Source organism: Homo sapiens, chromosome 15 (assembly GCF_000001405.40).
Source record: "Homo sapiens chromosome 15, GRCh38.p14 Primary Assembly".
NCBI lineage: Eukaryota > Metazoa > Chordata > Mammalia > Primates > Hominidae > Homo > Homo sapiens.
The window spans coordinates 95,304,865-95,328,551 of record NC_000015.10 but is presented as its reverse complement, the minus strand read 5'-3'; the positions used below and the strand labels follow the sequence as shown (position 1 = coordinate 95,328,551).

Below are 23,687 nucleotides of genomic sequence, written 5' to 3'. Positions count from 1 at the left end.
ATATCCAACATCAGGAAAATAGTTGAGCAAACCATATATACAATTAATGAAAGATTATGCAGTTATTAAAATTGGTTAATATGGATATTCTCTAATAATATTAAAAAGTCCCTTCGACATAATGCTGTGTGAATCACTACATAATCCCACAATTCAAATGTACTCTTTTATAAGTATGTAAGCATACATATAAACAATTCTAGTAAGAAGCATGCATACATTTAATTTACATGGGCATTTTTTTGGTATATGCTGTCCCTGTTAGCCTGATGGGATTATTATGTTTCCTTTTCCCATTTCTTTTTTCTAAAGTTACTGTTCTGTTCATATGGTATTTGAAAGAGAAACACTTGTACTTAAGCTCTCTCTTTCCACCCACTCGCTTTTCAATCAGTTATATAAAATATACCTTGGTGATATGTTTCCATCTCATTTATTACTATTTTAAACATGGCTTTCACTTTCTTCGTGGTGGTAGTGGACATGGCAGAGGAAGATGGTGTAATTCAAAAGCACAATTAAGCAGAAAATCATTTTCCTCCTAGAAAAAAAAATCTGGTTTTTTCTAAACTATTTTACTCTCAGAAGTAAATGAATCAGCACCTGCAGGACTGACTGCCTCCTCGACAGGAGATGCTTTACCTTCAGCGTGGCGGTTTGCGCAGGAGGAATGCTTGCAGTGAATGGACCTGTCTGTCTTTCAGTCGCCAAAGAAGAGCCCGGATGACACAATAGCTCTCTATCAGCCCCATTTCTATGGTGGTTCACGACTTATTCTCTCCTGCTAACCGTCTGCCTGCTTCGACCCTCACTCTCAACCTAACCAGTGTTAAAAAGGACACTTCTTAAATAGAATTGCCTAAAACAATGCACCGTCATCCTTTTGCAAGGGCAAACAAAACATATTCAAATTGCTCATGACTTTTAAACAAGTAAAAGCTAGATAAATTATGAAAATGTTGCATATCCTAATGTGCTATATATATATATATAGATATATATATATATATCGGGCACATCCTTCTATTTTTTTCTTTTTCGAAAAAAAAGTTTACTAGCGTTTACTAGCCAATTATCTTATATTTTTAGCCTGTGTAGAATATCTAAAGTGTATTGTCCACGCCCCTCCTTTTTAACCCATTTTCAATGGGTTTAATATTGCCCGAGATAAGGGGATGCAACTGTTCAGGTCTGATTTCCTGTTGTTTCTCAGATACTGATAGGGCATCATTCACATACATGACAAATAAGACTTCTGAACTGTTTGCCATTTGGGAAGGGGAGGCTCGCGGGTTGTTCCCTGGCGAAATGATTTGTGAAACATCAGTCCGAAATTATTCGGGGGTTCTTCGCCCTCCACTTTCCCATAGCGCGTTTTCCTTTCTCCCACAGAGATATAATAGAAACTAATCTTCAAAATCCAAACATTCCAAGCCCCATCCTTTTGTGCAGGCATCTCGCTGTCTGCGCTGGGCACGGAGCGGCGCGCGCGCGCCCGTCTTTCCCTCGGCGGCCCCCGCGGCTCGGACCCGGGCCGGCAGACAGGCCATCCATCATCCGCCCTCCTCCCGCGGAGCGCCGCAGCCGCCGCGGCCAATCCGGCGGCAGGTGGGGCCGCACCTGCGCGACAGCCCGCCGCTTCCCTCCGCTCCCTTCGCCGCGCCTCGCGTGCTAGCGGTGCCCTTGTGAGCCACTGCGTTCTCCAAGGCCAGAACGGGACAGGTACGCTCGGGTGACAGGGACCGTACGTGCGCTGAGCCCGCGGCTGGCAGCCAGGGGGGCGGCTGGAACGTGGGAGGACACGCTGTCCCTTAATACACACGCGTGCTTTGGATGGGTGTGTCATCTATTTGTGGACATACGGGCCCTCACTGGGTTTAGCCTCTTAAAAAGTTGAAGAATTAAGATGCTTACCTTTGGAAGGGAAGTGTAACTGAGAACACGTTTTAGTGATAGAATGTGTTGCCTCTGGTCTGTTTCTTGGGTGAACCCATGGTGCAGTTTCCAAGCCACGTCTGAATTCCGCATGCCCCCTACATACTTCAGGCAGTATTCCCCTAAGGCCTAAGTGAGAAATACTGACTCAATACTAAAGATTAAATAGTATCCATAGGATACAAAAATTACCCCAAACAAAAACCTAACCTAGACCTCAAGGACCATGAAAAGACTGTAACAACTTAAAGAAAAAATAGGACCTCAAACTACAGAGAAGCTTTCATTTTCCAAATAGGCAAATTATTTGTAGTGCAATCCGCTTGTTTTTGTGGGGGCTAAAGCGGGTGTAGAGTTGCTTGGCTATTCTGTGGAGGCAGCTAGATAAGTCCTGCTAACATGTTATGGATTTTGTAAGCGGGCTCAATAACTCCCTTTGGTTTAAAAGGTCCAAAACATGTATTTTATCATGTAATTTGAGAACAAATGAGAACAAGCAGAATGCCTGCCTCCCCCGATATGTTCCAGGAGTGTGTCTATGTAGATGTCAATTACGTAAGTGCAAGGCCTTGGAAAACAACAGCCCTGCAGGTGGCTTCAAGGCTTCAAGATTTTTCAGAAAAGCATATTTCTTTTATTTTCTTTAAGAAAAATACAAAATAAAAATAACAGCAACCACAGCCGCAAGCATTACCCTCCAACCTCCTGCCCCTGTCTTGCTTCTGAGTCATAAATCATGAAAAAGAGAGAGACAATGACTCCAGTTTTCCTGCCTTTAACAACTGGAACTGCTAATGCCAAAAAGGAAGAGAAATAAACAGGCGAGCTGTATTTCTGCAGAAGAAGGAGAGGTGCCCTTGGGAAACCGGAGGTTCCTCATCTCTAAGGACCTCCCTTCCCTAAAAAGGGTCTCTCCCTTTAAAGTTAGTGGTTCTCAAACCTGTCTTCATGTGAGATTCACATAGGCTTTTGTTTTTTGTTTTAAGAAATACAAATGCCAAAATTAATACTCTGGTTTGATTGGTCTGGGGTGTGGTGGAGGCAGAAGCACTTTGGGGTTAGACATAGGTATTTTGGGAAAACCTTTCCAATCCTTGGCATGTGCAGCCATCCAGCTGTGCATTCCAATCCTGTTCTGTTTCATGGGCTACATGAGATATTATTTGATTCTATTTCATGAGATATATGAACGGGATTCCTGGGATAGTATTCTGTTCTGTTTCACAGGATATACTTATGCCCCCATCCCACAGTTGTCTCCCCTCTCCACTCAAGCATATGCACAGAACCCACATTGGGTAAACAAGATCTCTCTTTTTGTTTCTTTTCCACTACTCAGTTCTATTAGCATTTTAGTGTATTCATTCTGGTTGTTAAAATGTATCACTCCTCATTTTAACACCTCGATAGCAGTTTGGGATTTTTGTTATTTGCTGTTGGTGCATTTATATTTACATATTATTTTTTAAAATACTGAGTTTCGGGAATTGGAGAGCAAGTGATAGACTTGCTGTGACATTTTGAAGTCTAAAATGTTTTTATCAGAACCTGGAAGCCCAGCATGTTGGAGAAGCTCCCCCTTCAGAGCGTGGCCTTTGTTCATCCCCTTCAGGCCCACCTGAGCCACTGAGGATCGCCCGCAGAAGGCTGGCTGCACATTTTGTATGAGCAGAACATTCTTCCTGTTCACCAAAGTGGAACTGAAGTTTCTCTTTCCCTTGGATTTTCTCACTCTCCATGGCCAGCAGCGCCACATTTCTGGATTATGTTGTACGCTTTACCTTGAGAGATAGATGATCTGGTCTTTGATTAGACACCCTGACCTTTTACGAGTGTTGATCATTGATCATGATCTAGGCTGGATAGAAAGCTCTTGACTCTGAAAAGTTACTCGGCTGCTGACACCACAGGGAAATGCAATTTCTGAGTCCTGGTAGTCACTGCAGCAGGACTCCCCCTCAATTAGGATTTCTCTTGTTATTATTTTACTTTTCTTAAGCAAGCTGCAGCCTCTACTCTCCAGCTCTAGCTTTTAGTTACGGTAATCAATTTTTCTGTGTAACTGGCTGTAATTGTTGGCTTGGATATTGAGCTTTCATGGAGCTTAGACATAGAGTGTTCCCGTGAAGGGTCTTCTCCATGCCTAGCAGACAGATGGGTAATAATGCCATATATTAATACCTCCACATTGGTTTATGTGTGTTTGACCACAGTGCAAGCATAATTATTTTTGCCCAGTAAAAGCTATTAGAGATCTATTTGGTAGGTTTTACGATCAATAGCTCCTGTGATATTTGTGTGGCAGCCACAGAATAATCAATTGAAGGTCATATAAAGTAAATTACCATCCTCCTATAATGATTCTTGTTTCTAGATGAAAATTGGGTTTTATTATTTCATCAGGAGCCTCTCACGACGCATGCTCTGTCTGTTTGAGAAAGAGAGATATCAAAGTTGTGAGCGTGTTTTGAACATAGTATTAATATCCATTACTTGAATTTATGGTATTGGATTATTGAATTAGTGGATTCACACTGGAATTCCTTCAAAACCCTTTCTTATGTACTCAGTGACACACTTAACAGTCGAGAGCAAACGGACGGCTTTGCCGCGTGGTGGAGTGAGTCACTTTGCAAAAGTCAATCTTGGTAGCTGTCTCTTTAAAGCAAATTTAGAGTTGGTTAAATGTGTTATATTGACAGTGTGACCGACTGAGCTTCTCTCTGCAAACCCTTTTGGAGAGTGACTGGTGAACTAAACAGGAGATGGAGTCAGGAATGCTGAATACTAATGCATAGTCCATGAGTAGCTCAAGGTGAAAGGGGGGCAAGTGGTGGGCGGAGAGGAGAGAGTCCTGTGCACCTGCTCTCCAGCCAGGTCTCTCCCTCATGCAAGATGCCTAACCTGGATTTCAGACTGGCAGTGCGAGCCAGAGTGATGGCTGTGCCTCTATAAAAGATTGCAATTTGCCAACCGGAGGCATGCAATCCCCCAACTGTCTTAAAGGGACCCATTTTCAAAGTTTAGCCTTTCTTTTTGTGGGTGCAATCAGTTGTGCACTGAAAAACTGCAGCCACAGTTGGATAACTGCAGGCACAACAGGCCACGAGAGGCCTCTTTGCTCCAAATTTTGTACCTGCAACTAATTGCACTTACAGAAAATGGGAGTGTGGTAGGAGTTTTTTTTTTTTTAAATTGGGGCCAGTAAATTCTCCATGGAAGAAATAGGCAAGGAAAGAGACAGTTACTCACTTTCTTAAGGACAAAGGCAAATGGAGACATCCTTTCCTTGACACACCCCATCTAGTCTATAGAGCATGGTATAGAAGCCAAATACCAGGTACCACAAATGCCCTGATCATCTGGGACATTGCCTGGGACTCAGTAACGTCTTGCAAATGTACAAGAAATAATCTATGAAAAGTAGCCCAGAGAAGACATTAGTGAGTTTGAGACAATAACTCCGGTGATAAATTAATGAAGTGTTTTATAATAAATAGCAGAGGGGATTTTCTTTCTATTTAAATAAATTGTTAGTTACTTCTCATTTGCTTTGCAGATAACTCATGCAAAAATTAAGATAGTAGTGACTCTGGATTTTATTCAAAAGGTAAATCTGGAGCCTCTTTGCATTTACAGATATTTATAAATGTACATACATAAGATATGTATGTATTTATATATATATATAAATTATATATGGTATATCTGTATACGCACTTATATACACATATTTTATACATATACTTTTTTTTTTGAGAGATTGTCTTGCTCTGTCACCCAGGCTGTAGTGCAATGGTGCAATCTCAGCTCACTGCAGCCTCCGCCTCACAGGTTCAAGCAATTCTCCTACCTCAGCCTCCCGAGTAGCTGGGACTACAGGTGTGCATCACTGTGCCTGGCTAATTTTTGTATTTTTAGTAGAGATGGGGTTTCACCATGTTGGCCAGACTGGTCTCTAACTCTTGACTTAAGGGTGATCCGCCAACCTCAGCCTCCCAAAGTGTTGAGAGTACAGGCGTGAGCCACCACACCCGGCTACATACACTTACTTTAATTACTTTTTTGATGAGCCTAGGGAAAGGGAAGTCTTGCAATCTTTTTTTTTTTTTTTTTGTCTTGAGACAAAGTTTCACTCTTGTTGCCCAGGCTGGAGTGCAATGGCATGATCTAGGCTCACCACACCTCTGCCTCCCGTGTTCAAGTGATTCTCTTGCCTCGGCCTCCTGAGTAGCTGGGATTACAGGCATGTACCACCACACCTGGCTAATTTTATATTTTTAGTAGAGACGGAGTTTCTGCATGTTGGTCAGGCTGGTCTCGAACTCCTGACCTCAGGTGATTCGCCCGCCTCAGCCTCCCAAAGTGCTGGGATTACAGGCGTGAGCCACCATGCCCGGCCCAGTCTTGCTTTTTAAGGGATGCACAAATACAACTTGGGTGACTCCCAAGTCCTAGTGGGTGAATTTCCTGCCTGGGGGCTTGCAAAGTTATGTCTCACAAGGAATCCATCTTACCATCTATTCTGTACAATTTAGTGACAGGCAAGTTGAGACTCAACTCAAAACCTTGTTTTCTACCTTTTGCAGATGACCATAAATTAAGCTCATAGCCTGGGAATTTGTAAATAATATACAAAATAACATTTGTATTTTGAGATTCTGTTCTTACAGAAATAGTTTGAAATATACTTTTATCCCAATAACAAATTGAATCACCAAACAAAACAAGCAAAGGTTTTAGTAGTTCTTACGGTTCCCAGGAAATTGATGATAGAGTAGTGTAACAGGAATTAAAAATTGAAGAAGTCCAGACAGAAATATAGAGCAATAGAATAGAATAGAATAGAGAGCACAGAAATAAATCCATGTATTTGTGGTCAACTCGGCAAGGGTGTCAATAACACACAATGGGAAAGTATTGTCTTTTCAACAAATAGTGTTGGGACAAGTGGACATCCACATGCAAAAGAATGATAGTGTACCTATATCTTATACCATACACAGAAGTTAACTCAAAATGGGCTAAAGACCTGAATCTGTAAAACTCCTAGAAGAAAATAGAGGGGGGAAATGTCATGACATTGGTCTTGGAAATGATTTCATAGATATGACGCCAAAAGCACAAGCAAAAAAACCAAAAGTAGGCAAAGGGGAACAAAAGCTTTTGCACAGCAAAGGAAATAGTCAACAGAGTGAAAAGGCAACCTACAGAATGGGAGAAAATATTTGCAAACTATTCATCCAACAGGGGATTAATGCCAAGAGTATACAAAGAGCTTATATGACTAAATAGCAAAATAATGATAATAATGATAGCCAATTGTTTAAATGAGCTATGGATTGCAAAGACATTTCTCCCAAGAAGACATATAAATGGCCAACAGGTATATGAAAAACAAGATGCTTAGCATCACTTATCATAAAAAATGCAAATCAAAGCCATAAAGAGATAGTACCTCATACTTGTTAGGATAGCCATTTTCAAAAAAACAAATGACAAGTGTTGAGGGATGTAGAGCAACTGGAACCCTTGAACACTGTTGGTAAGAATGCCAAGTTGTATAGCCACTATGGAAAACAGTATGAAGGTTTCTAGAAAATGTAAAAATTGGACTGCCATATGATTCAGCTATCTCACTTTGGTATTTATCCAAAAGAATTAAAATCAAGATCACAAAGGTATACTCCCATGTCATTGAAGCATTATTTACAATAGCTGAGATGTAGAAGCCAGTGAAATGTCCATCAGCAGATAAATGTATACATAAAATGTGGTATGTACCTACTATGGGATATTATTCAGCCTAAAGAAAAGAAGGAACTCCTAAAATATGTGACAATATGTGATATTATGAAATATATATTTGGTCTTGGTCCCCACTTCCTGGCATATAACTCCTAAAATTCTTGGAATCGCCAAAGAGAAAAGTGTGTTTTTGTATGCTTGAGGCTTGACTAATGGCTGGCAGTCCCTAATAGCTTCAGGATGGGACTTAACACTGCAAAGATGAAGAGAGAATTAGAAGGTTGGGACTTTTAAATCCATCCTTCAACCACCTAGGAGAAGAGAGGGGCTGAAGGTGAAGTTGGTCACCAATGACCAGTGATATAACCAGTCATGAGGTAATGAAATTACCATAAAGGACTGGGTGTGGATAGCTTCTGGAAACCTGGGCAAGCTGGAGGCTCCTGGGGGATGGTGTGCCCAGAAAGAGAATGGAAGCTCTGCACACCTTCCCCCATATCTTGCCCTATGACTTTTTTTTTTCATATGCAACCCTCGCGGTATCCTTGAATAATAAACCCGTAAATGTAAGTGTTTTCCTGTGTTCTGTGAGCCACTCTTGTAAATTAATCAGACCCAGGGAGGGGGTCACTGGCTATAAATCCCGATTTATAGCTGGCCAATCAGAAGCACAGGTGAAACAACCTGGGGCTTGTGATTAACATCTGAAGTGGAGGCAGTCTCATGAGATGGAACCCTCAACCTGTGGGATATGAGGCAGTCTCCAGGTAGATCACGTCAGAGTTGAATTGCAGGGTGCCCGGCTGATGTCTGCTGTAGAATTGATTGCTTGCTTGATGTGTGGGGAAAACCACCCCAGTGTGTGGTGTCAGAAGCATGTCGTGAGACAATAGAGAAAACGAGTTTGTATTTTCCACTCAACACGGATGATACTTGAGGACATTATATTAGGTGAAATAAACTAGTCGCAAGGGACAAATACTGCATGTTTCCACTCATTTGAGATGTTTAAAATAGGCAAACTCTTAGAGGCTGAGAGTAGAATGGTAGCTGCCAGGGCCTGTGGGGAGGGAGAGATGGAGAGTTGGTAATCAATAGGTATAAGGTTTCAGTTATGCAAGATGAATAATTTCTGGTGATCTACTGTGTAGCATTGTACCGATAGTTAAAATATTGTAAGGTACACTTAAACATCTGTTAAAGGGTAGATTTCATGTTAAGTGTTCTTACCACAATAAAATAAAAGTAGAAATTAAAAAAAAAAAAAAGGAGACAGTTCAAGATATCATGGGAAGACACTCTCGGAATAAGGCAATTAAAGGCCAGGAGTCCTCCAATTCAGCCCATCTACTGCCTCCTTTAATGCAACATGAGTATAAATCACATTTTGCAACTTGGGTGACTTTTCCCATAGAGTAACACTGAAAGGAATTTTTACGTTCTCTCACATGTTTACTTAATAATTGACTCAATGTAAATATGAAATTCAGCAAAACAGCACTGAACGGATTTTGGTATCGATAACAGCATTTGTTTTCATCTAGGTATGTTGACCTGGGAATCTAGTCTCCCAGCAAAACCCCTTCAAGAGAATGAAATGCCACTAGAAATACAAATAAGCCCTCAAGCAGCTTATTAAGGGCCACCCGACCTGCATCATAATGGGAACATTTGAGATTGTGGAGCTACCCTTTCATCTTTCCCCACCTTTCCTTTCATGACACATTGTATAAATGAAGCCTCTACCATTATCCTTTGGAGAGTAAATTAAATAAGGGATGATTTTCCCTTATTCATTCAGCTGGCCTTCGGCATTCAGATTTGGTCCCACACTTCAAAGAGGGGCGGAGAACTTCTAGGGAGTTCAGAGAAGAGGAATATGAATGATATAAGCAATAGAATCTGAGCTATGTTCAGTAAATTGTTCTACAGAGGAAGAAGGTACAAGGTGACAGGAGTATGAAATGATGAAGAGGAAGTGGCAAGATTATTTTTCTTCAGGGGTAAAAGTAATAACATTTGGGGAAATGGGCTTAAATTAGGAACAATTTTCCATGTATAGTAATATATTCCATTAACTGTGAAAGCTAAAAAATAAAGTGAAGCTATAAAATGGCAATTCTTATAAGTCAAAAATGCCCTATGCAAATGAAGTGTTCAATAAAAAACAGTTGTTATTGGAACTGATTGATGATAATGATGATTAAAATTATTTCCTTGCAAGTTTCTGTAACAACTTGGCACTTTCTAGTCTTTCTTAGTACTTGCCTTGCCGAACCCCAACCTTGGATTAGCACCACTGTGTTCCTTCTCCACACCTGTGCTGGCAGCTTCGCTTGGCTAATTGTGGCTGATCCCGGCTAATCTTGGTTTCACTAGAAAGAATAAAATCTTGGCTGGGAATGATGGTGTGTGGATGTAATCCCAGCTATTCAGGAGGCTGAGGCAGGAGAATTGCTTGTGCCTGGGAGGAGGAGGTTGCAGTGAGCCGAGATCACACCATTGCACTCCAGCCTGGGCGACAAGAGTGAGACTCCATCTCAAAACAAACAAACAAACAAACAAACAAACAGAATAAAATCTTAATGTCTCTAGTGGACTCTCACCACTGTCCTGCAGCTTTAAAAAGTCTCCCTATTGAATTGAGTCTCCAAGACAGTGTCTTCTCCCTACTCAAACCAGTGGCTTACACTAAACTGACCTTGCCTCAACTTTCACTTGGAAAGTAAATGCCATCAATTGAGAAATCCCTCATCTTTCACTTCATTTTCTAAATATTTTTAAATTTTTTAACTCACCTATATCCACACCGTCTTTTTTCCTTCAAGATTACAACTGATGAAAGGTGGCTTCTGTTTTCAAAGGTCAGGGTTTTTTTTTGTTTTGTTTTTTAAGATCTTATCCTCTCATCCTTCTGAAGAATTCTGTAGACTTTGGGTCATGACTCTCCTGCATCTAATGTACCTTCTTTACTGGATCAGTGTACACACTAGGCAGTATAAACACCTAAACCAAACAAACAAAACTCAAGCCCAAAAGATGATAGCTGACTTCTAATTTGGCAAAAGATGATAGTTGACCTCCAATATCCATTGTTTCCTTCTCTCGGTACAAGAATCTATGCTTCTGTCTGGGTCCATGAACACCTGGAACGGGCAATGTTCCCCAGCTTCTCTTGCAGCTAGGTGAGGCCGTGTGAATGAGTAAACACATGCAGTATTTCAAGCTCTTGGAAGCATCCTCAGTGCAGGGATCTGAGCCCTTCATCACTTCCTCCTATACTGATGTTGGCAGAGCTGTGAGAGAGAAAGATCTTGGCCCCCATTGTTTGGGGAGCCACCATAGCAGCTCTGGACTTCTTACCTCTTAACATTATCAATGGGAGAGAAAAATAGACACCTACCTAGTGTAAGCTGTTGTTATATTTTTCTATCACTTGCAGCCAAATCTAATCTCAGCTGATAAACGAACACTCCTTACAACTCATGTCCCTAAAATTGCCTCGCCCTTAGCTTTTCTTTACAGACAGAATTTTGAGTTATCTCCATGTACATCCTTCACATCCTCACTCCTGTCACACCTTGACCTGGTCCAGTGTGGCTTCCACCATCATCCTGTAGAAACTGCATTTGTCAGGTGCACTGACCTCCATCTGCCAGTCCTCTTCTTACCCAACAGAGCAGCAGCACTGGGCATCCTCCACTTTCTCACAAGTCTCTCTTTTCTAGAACTCTGTGTTATCACACTGTCCTGAGTTTTCCTTGGCCCCTCTGGTTACTACTCCTCAGTCTCCTTTGCAATCCTACATTTCAATTGTCTGCTCCATCACTCTTCTGTTGGTTTCATAGGCATTTAAACCTAATGTATCTAAAATGAGACTCTTGATTCTCCCACCTCCCAAACCTGGTTCTACCTCAATCATCCTCATGTTAGCAAATTCACCGACCTGATTTATCTAGAATATGGGAGTCATATCCCATTCTGCTCTCTACCTCGCTCCTTAGAGTCCTCATCTCAAAGCAGTCCTGATGAGGTCCATCTCAAACATAAAAATCACATCCGTCTATTTCTACCCATCTTTACTTCTGACATCCTATCGCCTGGGCCATGGAATGGCATCTGTTCTGATTTTCCAACTTTCCCTCTTTCCTTTTCAATCCCAGATTAATATAAAGAAATAAAGCATATAGCTCTGCTGCTCCAAGCTCCACAGTGGATTGCTACTACATTGAGGACAGAATCCGAGCTCCTTATCCGAGAGCATATGGCCCGATAGAACATCATTATCCCTCACACAGGTTTTCTTGGAGTTCCTCCCAAAAACCAAAGTATTTCCTACCCCAGGACATTTGTGCAAGCTGGTCCTTCTCTCTAGTAGTCTCTTCCCATGTCAGTTCTTGTGAGTGGCTCTTTCTCTCCATTCAGACACCCCATTAAATGGTATTGCCTCTGCAAAACCTTCACTGGCCACCTTGCTTAAGGAGACACACACCTATGTGTACTAATCCTTCGTAACTCCCCGGTCTTTTATTCCTTTAGAGCAATAATCATTATTTTTCAAGTAATAATTTATGGGTTTATTGGCTTAATTGATTTTTAGATATTTTAACCACTTTATTGAGGTATTATTTATTTACCATAAAATTCATCTGTTTTAAGCAAACATCTGATGTTTTTATATTTTCATAAATTTACTGAGATATGCAGCCATCACCACAACTCAATTTTAGAACATTTCCCTCATGGCCATTTGGAGTCACTCTTCATTCCCCACTAGACCCAAACAATCACTAATCGACTTCTTATCTCTATAGATTTGCCTTTCTGAACATTTTATATAAATGGAACCATATAATACGTGGTATTTTGTGGCTAGCTTCTTTCACTTAACATCATATTTTCACATCCATTTTATAAGTGATAACACATACCAGTACTTCATTCCTTTTTTATTTCCATATAAATTTTATTGTATGGATATACCACATTTGCTTTTTTATTCATTCATTGGTAGTCATTTAAATTGCTTCCAGTTTTGGGCTATTACATATTATGTTGTCTAGTACTTACTACTTTCAACTATACATTTTTTTTTTTTTTGAGACATAGTCTCTCTCTGTCACCCAGGCTGGAGTGCAGTGGCCTGATCTTGGTTCACTGCAACCCCCACCTCCCAGGTTCAAGCGATTCTCCTGCCTCAGCCTCCTGAGTAGCTGAGATTACAGGCATGCACCTCACACTGACTAATTTTTGTATTCTTAGTAAATACATGGTTCCACCATGTTGACCAGGCTGGTCTTGAACTCCTGACCTCAAGTGATCCGCCTGCCTCAGCCTCCAAGAGTGCTGAGATTACATTTTGAAACTTATTTGTATATCTCTTTCCTAAACCTATAAGCCTGATAGCACTTGACTGGCCTGTTTTGTCACCAATGTGTGCTTAGTACTTAGAAAATGCTTGCTATGACTAGAAGCTTAGTATTTGTTAAATGTACGAATAATAACTAACTCCATGTTGATTTCCAAATATCTCTTTCTAATGATTAGAGGCCAATTTGGATGATTGTAGAGGCTGGGAAAAGGGTAATTTTCTAATTTTTGGATAACATCAGCTCTCGGTAGCATAATCTTCTGAAGGTGCTTCTGCTTCATCTTGTTGTACCAACTGGAGAAATATCATTCTGGGTTGTGGGAAGCCCACATTCCTTAAGGGTGGCTTGCTAAATGTCCATCTCTGACTCTCTGGAAAGTTTGAGAGCATGCAAAAAGTGTGACAGTGTTATTTCGCATTTATCTGGAGCTCAGGAAAAGATTCTTTGAAAGCTTTTGGGGAGTCCCTTCCATACAGTTAAATTAGAGTACATGATCCAGGAACCCGTACCTGAATGGAAAACTAGGAAGCAGTTTCTGGATGGCAGTGTATGTAAATCTTGCCAAGCCTAGGATCCTGCTTTAGGCTTTAGTCCAAGTAGCTTAATTCAGCATCTAGCATGCAAGTTTAGGCAGACTTTATTCCCCATGCCAAAATTAAGGAGATTTGAGTTTCAGAAACTGAGTCTTAGAGTACAGTGTGAACCAGAAGGGCTCTTTACCACCTAAGAAAGAGGTGGAAACTAGTAGTAGCTATTATGAATAGCTCTTTATCTGTTTATTTGAAACAGATACACTTTGCAAACATACCTTGGGTATGCAAAACAACTTTTGCAAAGAACTATAAACCCCATTGCTTCTTTATGAAATCATCAAATAAAATTAGAGTATTTGTGAACTTATTGGAAACTATAAGCCCACTGAGAGCTGTGGTGATTGTATCCTGTTCCTAGGGGAAGAAGAAGTCCAAGAAAAACAGAAGCTGAGGAAGGGGACTGTGAGAAGCCAAAAATGAGGCACATGAGACCAATCTAGCAGGGGCTGGGAAGGGGCCAGGGTCTCCATATCCAACAGGCTTAGGGAGGGAGGGTAAAGCTCTTTTCTTCCCCGGTAGGTAGGGTTGGCTTGGTTTTACTCAATAATTTAAGCAAAATCTAAGAAGACTGTAGCAAATAAATAAATAATTCCCCCATAAACATTATATATTTACTGGAGGAAAACAGAATGAAGCAACCCCAAACAATGTAAATGAGCTGATTTTTGGAAGAGTCATTAGAAAAGGTGTCTGATGTGTTGGTCCTGTAACAAGCATTGAACTAGAACTTGCCTGTTTAGGATAGGAACTCTTGGAAGAGTGATTCACTCACTCCTATAATCCCAGTACTTTGGGAGGCTGAGGCAGGAGGATCATTTGAGGCCAGGAGTTCAGTTTGAGACCAGCCAGGGCAACACAGCAAGACCTTGTTTCTACACAAACAACACAAAACAAAAATTAGCTGGGCATGGTGGCATGTACCTATAGTCCCAGCTACTCAGGAGACCGAGGCTGAAGAATCATTTAGGCCTAGTAGTTCAAGGCTGTAGTGAGCTGTGATTGCACCACTGTACTCCATCCTGGGCAACAGAGTGAGACCCTGTCTGAAAAAATAAAATAAAATTTAAAAAATGAAAATAAACAAAGTGGAACAAAAATGGAGACCAAAAAACAAGCTTTTAATAGAACTAATGGCAAGAGCAGGATGATTTCCTGAGGGCTGCAGAGTTTCAGGGGCAACTAGGAGGATGTTTAGTGCCCATAGATAAGCCAGCTGGAAATGACTGGGAAACAGGAGTAGATACTTAGAATATGTCATTGTGGGGTAGGGTTGGGGAAAACAGTGGACTTGATAAAGAGGCCTAGGGAATATTCCAGTTAAAGCAGAGGATAGAATTACTGGGAACAAGTGACTTTAGTTGTGGAGAGAAGGATTTTGACCTGGAAAGGAAGGTGGGCCAGAAAGAACTAAGCAAACCCAAAGACTTTAAATCAATTCTGTTACCAGAATACAAATAAATTTGGAAGTATGCAGAATCTGAAGCTGCCTATTGAGGTGCGTTGAACTAGTTTACATAATAAGACTCAGCACCCATGACCGATTCCCTGGTGAAGCCTAGCTGCCTGCTATCTCACTCTAACATAGTGTTTCTCTTTCTGCTTGTCCCATGTTCCTTTCCTCTCATGTGTTGCATAGCATTTCCTTGAAGAGAAATCACGTGTAAAGAGTTTGGTTTAAAATGCCATCTAAATAATACTCTTCCCCCCATGAAGTCATGGAAAAAGTTAAAAATGAACCCTAGCATTGACAAACTTTTGCCAAATTGGGAACAATTTCCACTAACTGGAGTATTGATGAAAGCAGCCAGAAGAGATAAATCAATCCATCATCTGTGCTGTGCCATCAGAGTTTAAATTAAAAGATGCTTTCTGTGCTCTTCCAGCCCCCTCTCAACTCTCCACCCTGACTGCCTCCCATGAGAATCACCCTTTAGGCTGATTAAGAACATACTATGTACCTGCAGGTTCTTTGAGGCTCTCAGAATTTAGTTTCTCCCTTCTATTTCCTCTTGATTAATAGTTAACTTTTTAACATTGCTAGGAATTGTGTATTTCCAAAAAAAGATAAGCAGACACAGGTGTTGTCGAGTACATGTAATGGGATAACTGTGTGGCATTGGTGGGGAATCGCCTTAGCAAATGTCACTGTGGGAGATGCGGTCCCTACAAGAAGAGTCCTTCAGGACAGGTAAATTCTATGGGGCGTAGTTTTTATGTATAAATTTAATTTATCACATACTAGGCAGTAGCCTTAGGATAACATCCAATTTTTGTCTAGCAGATCACTGGTATTAAATACTTGGAATTGGGCTAGGGTAATTGACATGAAACTGATAGCAGCTGAGACTCTGAGAAGAGATTTTAGTCAGCACCCAAGTGGAGAGTGAGTGGTGCTCCAGAGTGCTCTACTCAATACTAGTTCTGGATGGAGGGCACTTTGGTTAAGCAAGAGTACAGAGGGAACAACAGCAACTGTAACTTGGAGGACAAAGAAAAGTATATGGCAATTGTGATAAATGGCATGTGCTCTGTTGTCAGAACCAGAGAAAAAGTCAGAACAGTTTGGCTCAATCAGTAAAATACAAGAAGACTTGGTGTTTATGAAATTGGAGCAAAATGCAAGAGAATAGACTGAGTAACAGGACAGAAATACACCACTAAATGATAAGTTATAAGAAAAGCCAAAGTGAGAGACTGATGACAGGAGGAAGGATTGCACACATAGCAGATGACGGGCAGCACTACGGGAGTGTGTTCCTTTCCCCTGTCCAGGGGCTTCCTTCCCTTTGGGACCCAGTGGGAAGTAAACTGTGAGCTGGCGATGCACCTTACTACAGAATGCAAGTCAGTCAGTCAGTTTCTTAAAATTAATTACTGTGGAGCCTCATGCCTGTAGTCCCAGCACTTTGGGAGGCCAAGGCGGGTGGATCACAAGGTCAAGAGATTGAGACCATCCTGGCCAACATGAAGAAACCCTGTCTCTACTAAAAATACAAAAATTAGCCGGGTGTGGTAGCACGCCTGTAGTCCCAGCTACTTGGGAGGCTGAGGCAGGAGAATCATTTGAACCCAGGAGGTGGAGGTTGCAGTGAGCCGAGATCGTGCCACTGCACTTCAGCCTGGCCAACAAAGCAAGACTCTGTTTCAAAAAAAAAAAAAAAAATTAAATACTGTGTTAGGCTGTTCTTGCACTGCTATAAAGAAATACCTGAGACTGGGTAATTTATAAGAACATAGGTGTAGTTGCCTCACAGTTCTGCAGGCTTTACAGGAAGCATGGTGCTGGCATTTGCTTGGCTTCTGGGAAAGCTTCAGGAAGCTTCCAATCCTGGTGGAAGGTGAAGGGGGAGCAAGCATCTTACGTGGCAGAGAGGGAGCAAAAGAGAGAGAATAGGAGGAGAGGTTCCACACATCTAAACAAGCAGATCTCATGAGAACTCACTCACTATCACGAGGACAGCACCAAACCATGAGAGATCTACCGCCATGACCCAAACACCTCCCACCAGGCCCCACCTCCAACATGAGGGATTACAATTCAACATGAGATTTGGTGGGGACACATATTCAAACGATATCAAGTACATTTTTAAAAATTACCATTTTCAGGTGGCAGAGAGAAACATTTGCAAAAGAGAATAGACAAATAGCTAGGAGGTGAGATCAGGTAGAGATAGCTTGCTGGCTTAGCCTGGAAAAATCTGTATTAATAACGCCATCAACAACAGTGTCTCTTCTGCTTCCCTTTCTGGGAACCATCCTCAAAAATTCTGAGCAAACTGGAAAGGGAGATTAGAATAAAAAGCCTAGTTTATGTACCTGCCTGTGACTAAGATAAAGATAATAGTGTGTAAATTTATCTGTGGTGAGTTGAATCATGCCCCCCACCCCACCAAAAAAAAAAAAAAAAAAAAAAGATGTACAAGTCCTACTCCTGGGTACCTACAAATATGTTACCTTGCTTGGCAAAAAGTAACCTTGCAAATGTGATTAAGTTAAGGTTATTGAGATGGGGGATTATACTGCATTGTCCAGTGTATTTACAAAGGTCCTTTTAAAAGGGAGCCAGGAAGACCAGAGGTAAAGAAAGAGATGTTACTAAAGCACAGGTGGGAGTGTTAGTGATGTGGGTCCATGAACCAAAAAATGCACTTGACTTCTAGAAGCTGAATAAAGCAAGGAAACAGATTCTCCCCAGGAGCTTCCAAAGAAACATAGCTCTGCCAACGTGTTTCAGACTTCTGACCTCCAGAACTGTGAGATAATAAGTGTGTGTGTTGTTTTAAGCCACTAAATTTGTCACAGCAGCAATAGGAAACTAATGCATCTCTTAAGGAGCATTCCAGGAAATAATAACATTATACGTTTTGGCATCTGTGCAAATGAGGACTGTTTGAGAGAAATTATGCTGATTTATAAGGTAAAGAAATTACCAGTGATACATCAGAGTTAGATACTAAGCAAAGTTCAGTATGAGTTGGATACTATGAGCTTTGCATAGTATCTAACTGTGATGTATCATATCAATTACACAAGATAAACTAACATGCGATTGCAGAATTAAAGCAAAATTTGATCACCATAAAGAGTAGGAACTATACTGAAGAAAGGAAAGACAGAAAATTCTACTAGTGATATCATGAACCAACTTCATACACTGAAGAACTATTAAAAAATGGTAAGAATATGGTGTTAGTTTGTAAGAATATATAGACACTGATAACAAAATGAAGATAGACTCTTAGAATTTGTATAGTTTCTGGAAGAAGAAGACAGGACAACTAGAATAGAAACAATAGTTGAAGACAAAATTAAAGAAAACTTTACTGAATTTAGAAACAATCTGGATATGTAGTTCATGGGCCCACAGCTTTTCAAGCAAACTCAGTGAAAAGATAATCAGGCTGAGAAGATTATTAAATTATTAAAGTAAATATATAAACATACAGAAATTTATTTAAAAAAGAAAAAAATGACCTGTAACAACATAAAATGGGCTGACCATAGACACTTCTGCTGAAATGCTAAAGGTAATAGAGAAGCATTTACCTAGATCTGTGGAAAATTGACAGTGACTCATCTATTTTTGTCACTAATAAAGCTTTCCGCTAGTAGATAAAGGCTTCATATACACATTTTCAAATAATCTCAAAACTGATCATCCTTGTACCATAATTCTCGAAAAAGAATTCACATTTGTGACTGACCAACTGAGAGATGAACCAAAGTTAAGAAATTAGGAATAGGGGCCGGGCGCAGTGGCTCATACCTGTAATCCCAGCACTTCGGGAGGCCAAGGTGGGCAGATCATGAGGTCAAGAGATCGAGACCATCCTGCTGAAGACGGTGAAGCCCCATCTCTACTAAAAATACAAAAATTAGCTGGGCATGGTGGCGCACGCCTGTAGTCCCAGCTACTCGGGAGGCTGAGACAGGGGAATCACTTGAACCCAGGAGGTGGAGATTGCAGTGAGCTGAGATCGCGCCCCTGCACTCCAGCCTGGCAAAAGAGCAAGACTCTGTCTCAAAAAAAAAAAAAAAAAAAAAAAAAGAAAAAGAAAATAAATTAGGAATAGGATTACATGGCGTAAAACAGCCCCATCTTCACTTTTGCAAGTTGGATTCCTATCTTAGAAATACAAATTGGGAAACCAATTTAGAGTATTATGTGTTGAGAGCTATACCCTATCACCAGGATACACAATTGGCCCTGCCTTGCTATCCTTAGCTGCCCCTAACACAGCTCCCAGAGTCAAGGAAGGAGTGTAACGCAGTATCATTTGATAACTTGGCCACTACTTAAAACAATAACCAATGATGCTCAGTTTCAGCCTTTATTATAGATGGTACCTCTACATGTTTAGGAAATAATGCTCAGCCAATTATGAACTATTGCCTTCTTTCCTTCCTCAGCTTTCTAGAAGGCGTACACAACAGTGAAATGAGAACCACTTAGTTTCCTAGGAAATGGCCCAGTGAAATTTTTGCACATCAAAACTTGAATGACCCAAGCCACTGATTTCAGGTTTTCATTTTTGTTTTTGACTGAGAAAGCTATTATAATAGTCTTAAGAGGGGCAGTATCTCTCATGAAGCTTCATTTCCTCAAGATTTTTAATTATAAAAAATACTATATGGGAGATTAATATTTTAATATAAATTTCTTTATACCTATATCCACATATAGAAAAAAATACAAAAATGTGTTTCCTTTCCACTGGCACTATGTTTTTGTTATTCCTTCTCTTCTCAGCTTGTAAACTCACTTCAGTCTCTGCTCTCTCACCTCACATCAGCCCAGCTCCCCACAGGGAAATAATACGAATTACGCAGTGCTAATTCTTTCATATTTCCAAGCACATATATTCTTATACAATTATAATCCTTTGATCCTCTATGGGTGGATATAGATGGTGCATGTGATTGTGTGTGTGTTTGTGTGTGTGTGTATGGTTGTGAGTGATTACTTGTTTTCCCAAAATAGGCTATATGCTTCCTATATAAGTGTCTTCCTACTGAGTAGTTCTTCATGGGGTTCCATCTAAGTCAATTGATATGGCTCTAATTTATTCTTTTTAACTATTGCATGCTATTCCATGATATGAATGTATTATGCTTGATTCACTTTTTCTTTTTTTGTACCCAGGAAGAATGCTATGTGCTATATATATATGTTTGTTATATCACTCTTAACTATAGTATTTCAGGCTGAATAATATATACATACATACATATATATTTATACACACACATACACACACACACACACACACACACACATTCTGCATATTGCCTAAAAGAGGAAGGTGTTTATTTCTTGAGATGGATTGCTGGGAATGGAACTGCTGAGTGGAAGAATACACACACACACACTTGTGTGTGTGTATAATATGTGTGTGTATGTATATATATATGTATGTGTACGTATACCAATATATGTATACACACATATATTTTTTAAATTTACAACATGCTATCAGATTGCTTTTCCAAAATGCAAAAAAGTCTTCAGGTTTTTACAAGTGATGTATGAATGTACCCTTTTCTGCACATTTCTGCCTGCAATTGGTGATTTTTTAAAAAAAAAAATTGCCAACTTGATGGATGTAAAGTGATACTTCACTGTTTTGGTGCTTTCATTTTCCTGCCACCAAGTGAGTTTGACCATCTTACTTGCTTGTGGGACATCTAAATTGGCACTTCTGTCGACTGTCTCCTCACAACCCGTGCTAACTCTTCTATTGGGCTGTTCACCTCCATCCTGGCATACGTTAGCTATTAACCCTTTTTCTCTATTACTTTTATATTTTAAAAATCTTTGTTTTAGCAAAAAAGACAGAAGATTAAAGGATCTGAAATTCATTCAACGATAAAAGTGCTTAAAACATTCTATCTTGGAGAGATTTACATTTTAATTGGTAGCAAGCTTGAAAAGAAAAGAATGAAGATCTTGGATACTTCTAATCATCAAGGAAAGGGTACAAATCAAACTGCTCTGATGGCCTGATTTGCACTTCTTCTACAGGTATTGAATTTGCACACTGTAGTGTTTGGTTACATAACAATGCGGAAAAGCTGAGTATGCTTCTCACTACTTTAAGTACTTCATATAAGTGGAATCATAACGTATTTGTCTTTTTGTGACTAGGCTATTTTATTTAGCGCAATGTCCTCAAGATTAGTTTGTGTTGTAGCATATGTTAGAATTTCCTTTCTTCTTCAGGCTAAATAATATTTCATTGTATGTTGCCATGGACTGAACATTTATGTCCACCGAACATTCCTGTCTTGACGCTCTCCTCCCAATGTGATGGTTTGGAGGTAGGTTCATTGGGAAGTAACTAGATAAGGAGGGTGGAGCCCTCATGAGTGGGATGGTGCCCTATAAGAGGCCAAAAACATAACTAGCTCTCTTTCAACCAAGAGAGAACACAGCAAGAAGTTGGCTGCCTACAACCCAGTAAAGGGCCCTCACCAGAACCTGATATGCTGGCAGCTTGATCTCTGACTTCCAGCCTCCAGAACTGTGAATAAATTTCTGTTGTGATATTCTGTTATAGCAAATAAAACTAACTAAGACATATCTATGTAACACATTTTGCTTATTCATTTATCCATCAATAGACACCTGGGTTGCTTCCACATTTTAGCTATTGTAAATTATGCTGCTGTGAACACTGATTTGAACCCATTTTTTCAGGACCTTTTTCTCAATTCTTTGAAGTATATACCCAGATGTAGAATTGATGGATGATATGGTAATTCTATTTTTAATATTTTGAGGAACCACCAAACTGTTTTTCACAATGGCTGTATCATTTTACATTGCCACCAAGAATCTATAAGAATTCCAGCTTCTCCACATATTCACCAATACTTGTTATTTTCTGTGTTTTTCTTTTTGATATTAGCCATCCTGTGGGTGTGGGATCGTATCTCATCATGTGCTTATTTGCCATTTGTATATCTTCTTTCAAAGGACCTTTTGTTACAAGGTTGCCACAGGCTTGTCCCCACAAAAGGAGCTGCTATTCAGGGATTTCTTTGTCTGTTTGTTTGTTTGTTTGTTTGCTTGCTTGCTTGTTTTTTCATGAGATGGTTTCTTGCCCTGTCATCCAGGCTGGAGTGCAGTGGTGCAAGCAGCCCCAAACTCCTGGATTCAGGGGATCCTCCCATCTCAACCTCCTGAGTAGCTGGGATTGCAAGCACACATGATCAGGCCTAGCTAATTTTCTTTTACTTTTATTTTTTTGTAGAGACAAGATCTCCCTTCATTTCCCACGCTGGTCTCAAACTCAAAAAGTCAGTGACAACAAGAGGTCTATGGGCAAATACTCTTCTTAATCTCTATGTCATCTGGCCATTGGTGCCTAATGTGGTCCAAATGTAGGCTCTATCACTACTTGAATAAACTTGGACAACTTAGATATGATACTTACCTTATAGGATGAACCTTGACTTGCTTTTCTGTAAGATTAGAAAAATACCTCCAGAAGCTGTTAGTAGGATCAAGCATTAAATGTACATGAAATTATTTTGAAATGTCTTTAAAACAAAGAAATGCTACTACTTTGACAACTTATCAGACAAGGCCAAATTTCATTCTGTGAGCTGGTAAGACCTGAAAAGTAATCATTCAACCCCTTGAATTGAATGAGTGAGAAAAAGATAGCAATTTAAGTTCAGTTCCTTAAATATGTTTACACATTATAGAAAGCTCTGCTTCAGTAAAGCTGTCAGACTTGGCTGTGCTAGGATGGTCCTACTGAAAGGGTACGATTCCTAAGATAAGGTTTCGAGCAATCAAATCTGCTCCCATTCCCCCATCCAAAATTTCCAAAAGCACAGATGAACTACTGGCCAGTGAATGCATGGACAATCAGCCTTTTATAGATGAGAAACGAGGTCCTCATGGGGGTGACAGGCAGTCAGAGCTTTGGCCAGAACCCCTAAACATGGCCCACGTCGTTCTCTGTACTTCCTCCTTATGATAGACAGGTGCTTTTTGTACCCAGAAATATTGTTTCTGCCATTTGCATTGTATTTTTTAAGGCTGGGATATAAGTAATAGAATTAAATCCGTTGGTAGGCAAAGTGTGCTATGAATTGTGGCAGTTTTCTGAAGAATTTAAGCCAAGAGGATATTTTTGGTTTGACTAAGTAATATAATTCAGGCCAAAATGGCTTCCAAATTTGAATTTCCAAAAACAGTGATAGTTCACCACTTCACTTGGCTGACACAGAGAAGGCGATCCCAACTTCTAAGATGAAATGAAACTTCTAGGAAAAATCAAAATCAGCCACTACATTTTATCTCTGGAGGGCATGGGAGGAAGAGGCAAGATAGGGATCATTACAACGTTGTAATCTGTTAGTCATCCAAAAAAAAAAAAAAAGAAAGAAAGAAGGGAAACGTTTTCTCTATGTTCTATAAATTCTATTCCAGCTGCATAAACTGCACTAGAACTGAACACAGCCTCCACTAAAACAAAATTTTAAAACAACAACAACAAAAAACTCATAAATGAGCTGGGGACCA

General features: G+C 40.2%; 1 long non-coding RNA gene across 1 annotated transcript in view; it reads left to right on the top strand.

Annotated features, from left to right (window-relative positions):
• The first annotated feature begins 1,451 nt into the window (after positions 1-1,451).
• The window catches only part of LETR1 (lymphatic endothelial transcriptional regulator lncRNA 1), a 47,813-nt gene continuing 25,577 nt past the window's right edge, over positions 1,452-23,687 (top strand). The window contains exon 1 of the long non-coding RNA NR_034095.1: positions 1,452-1,722. This is a non-coding gene — a long non-coding RNA (lymphatic endothelial transcriptional regulator lncRNA 1). The remainder of the gene's footprint in view (positions 1,723-23,687) is intronic.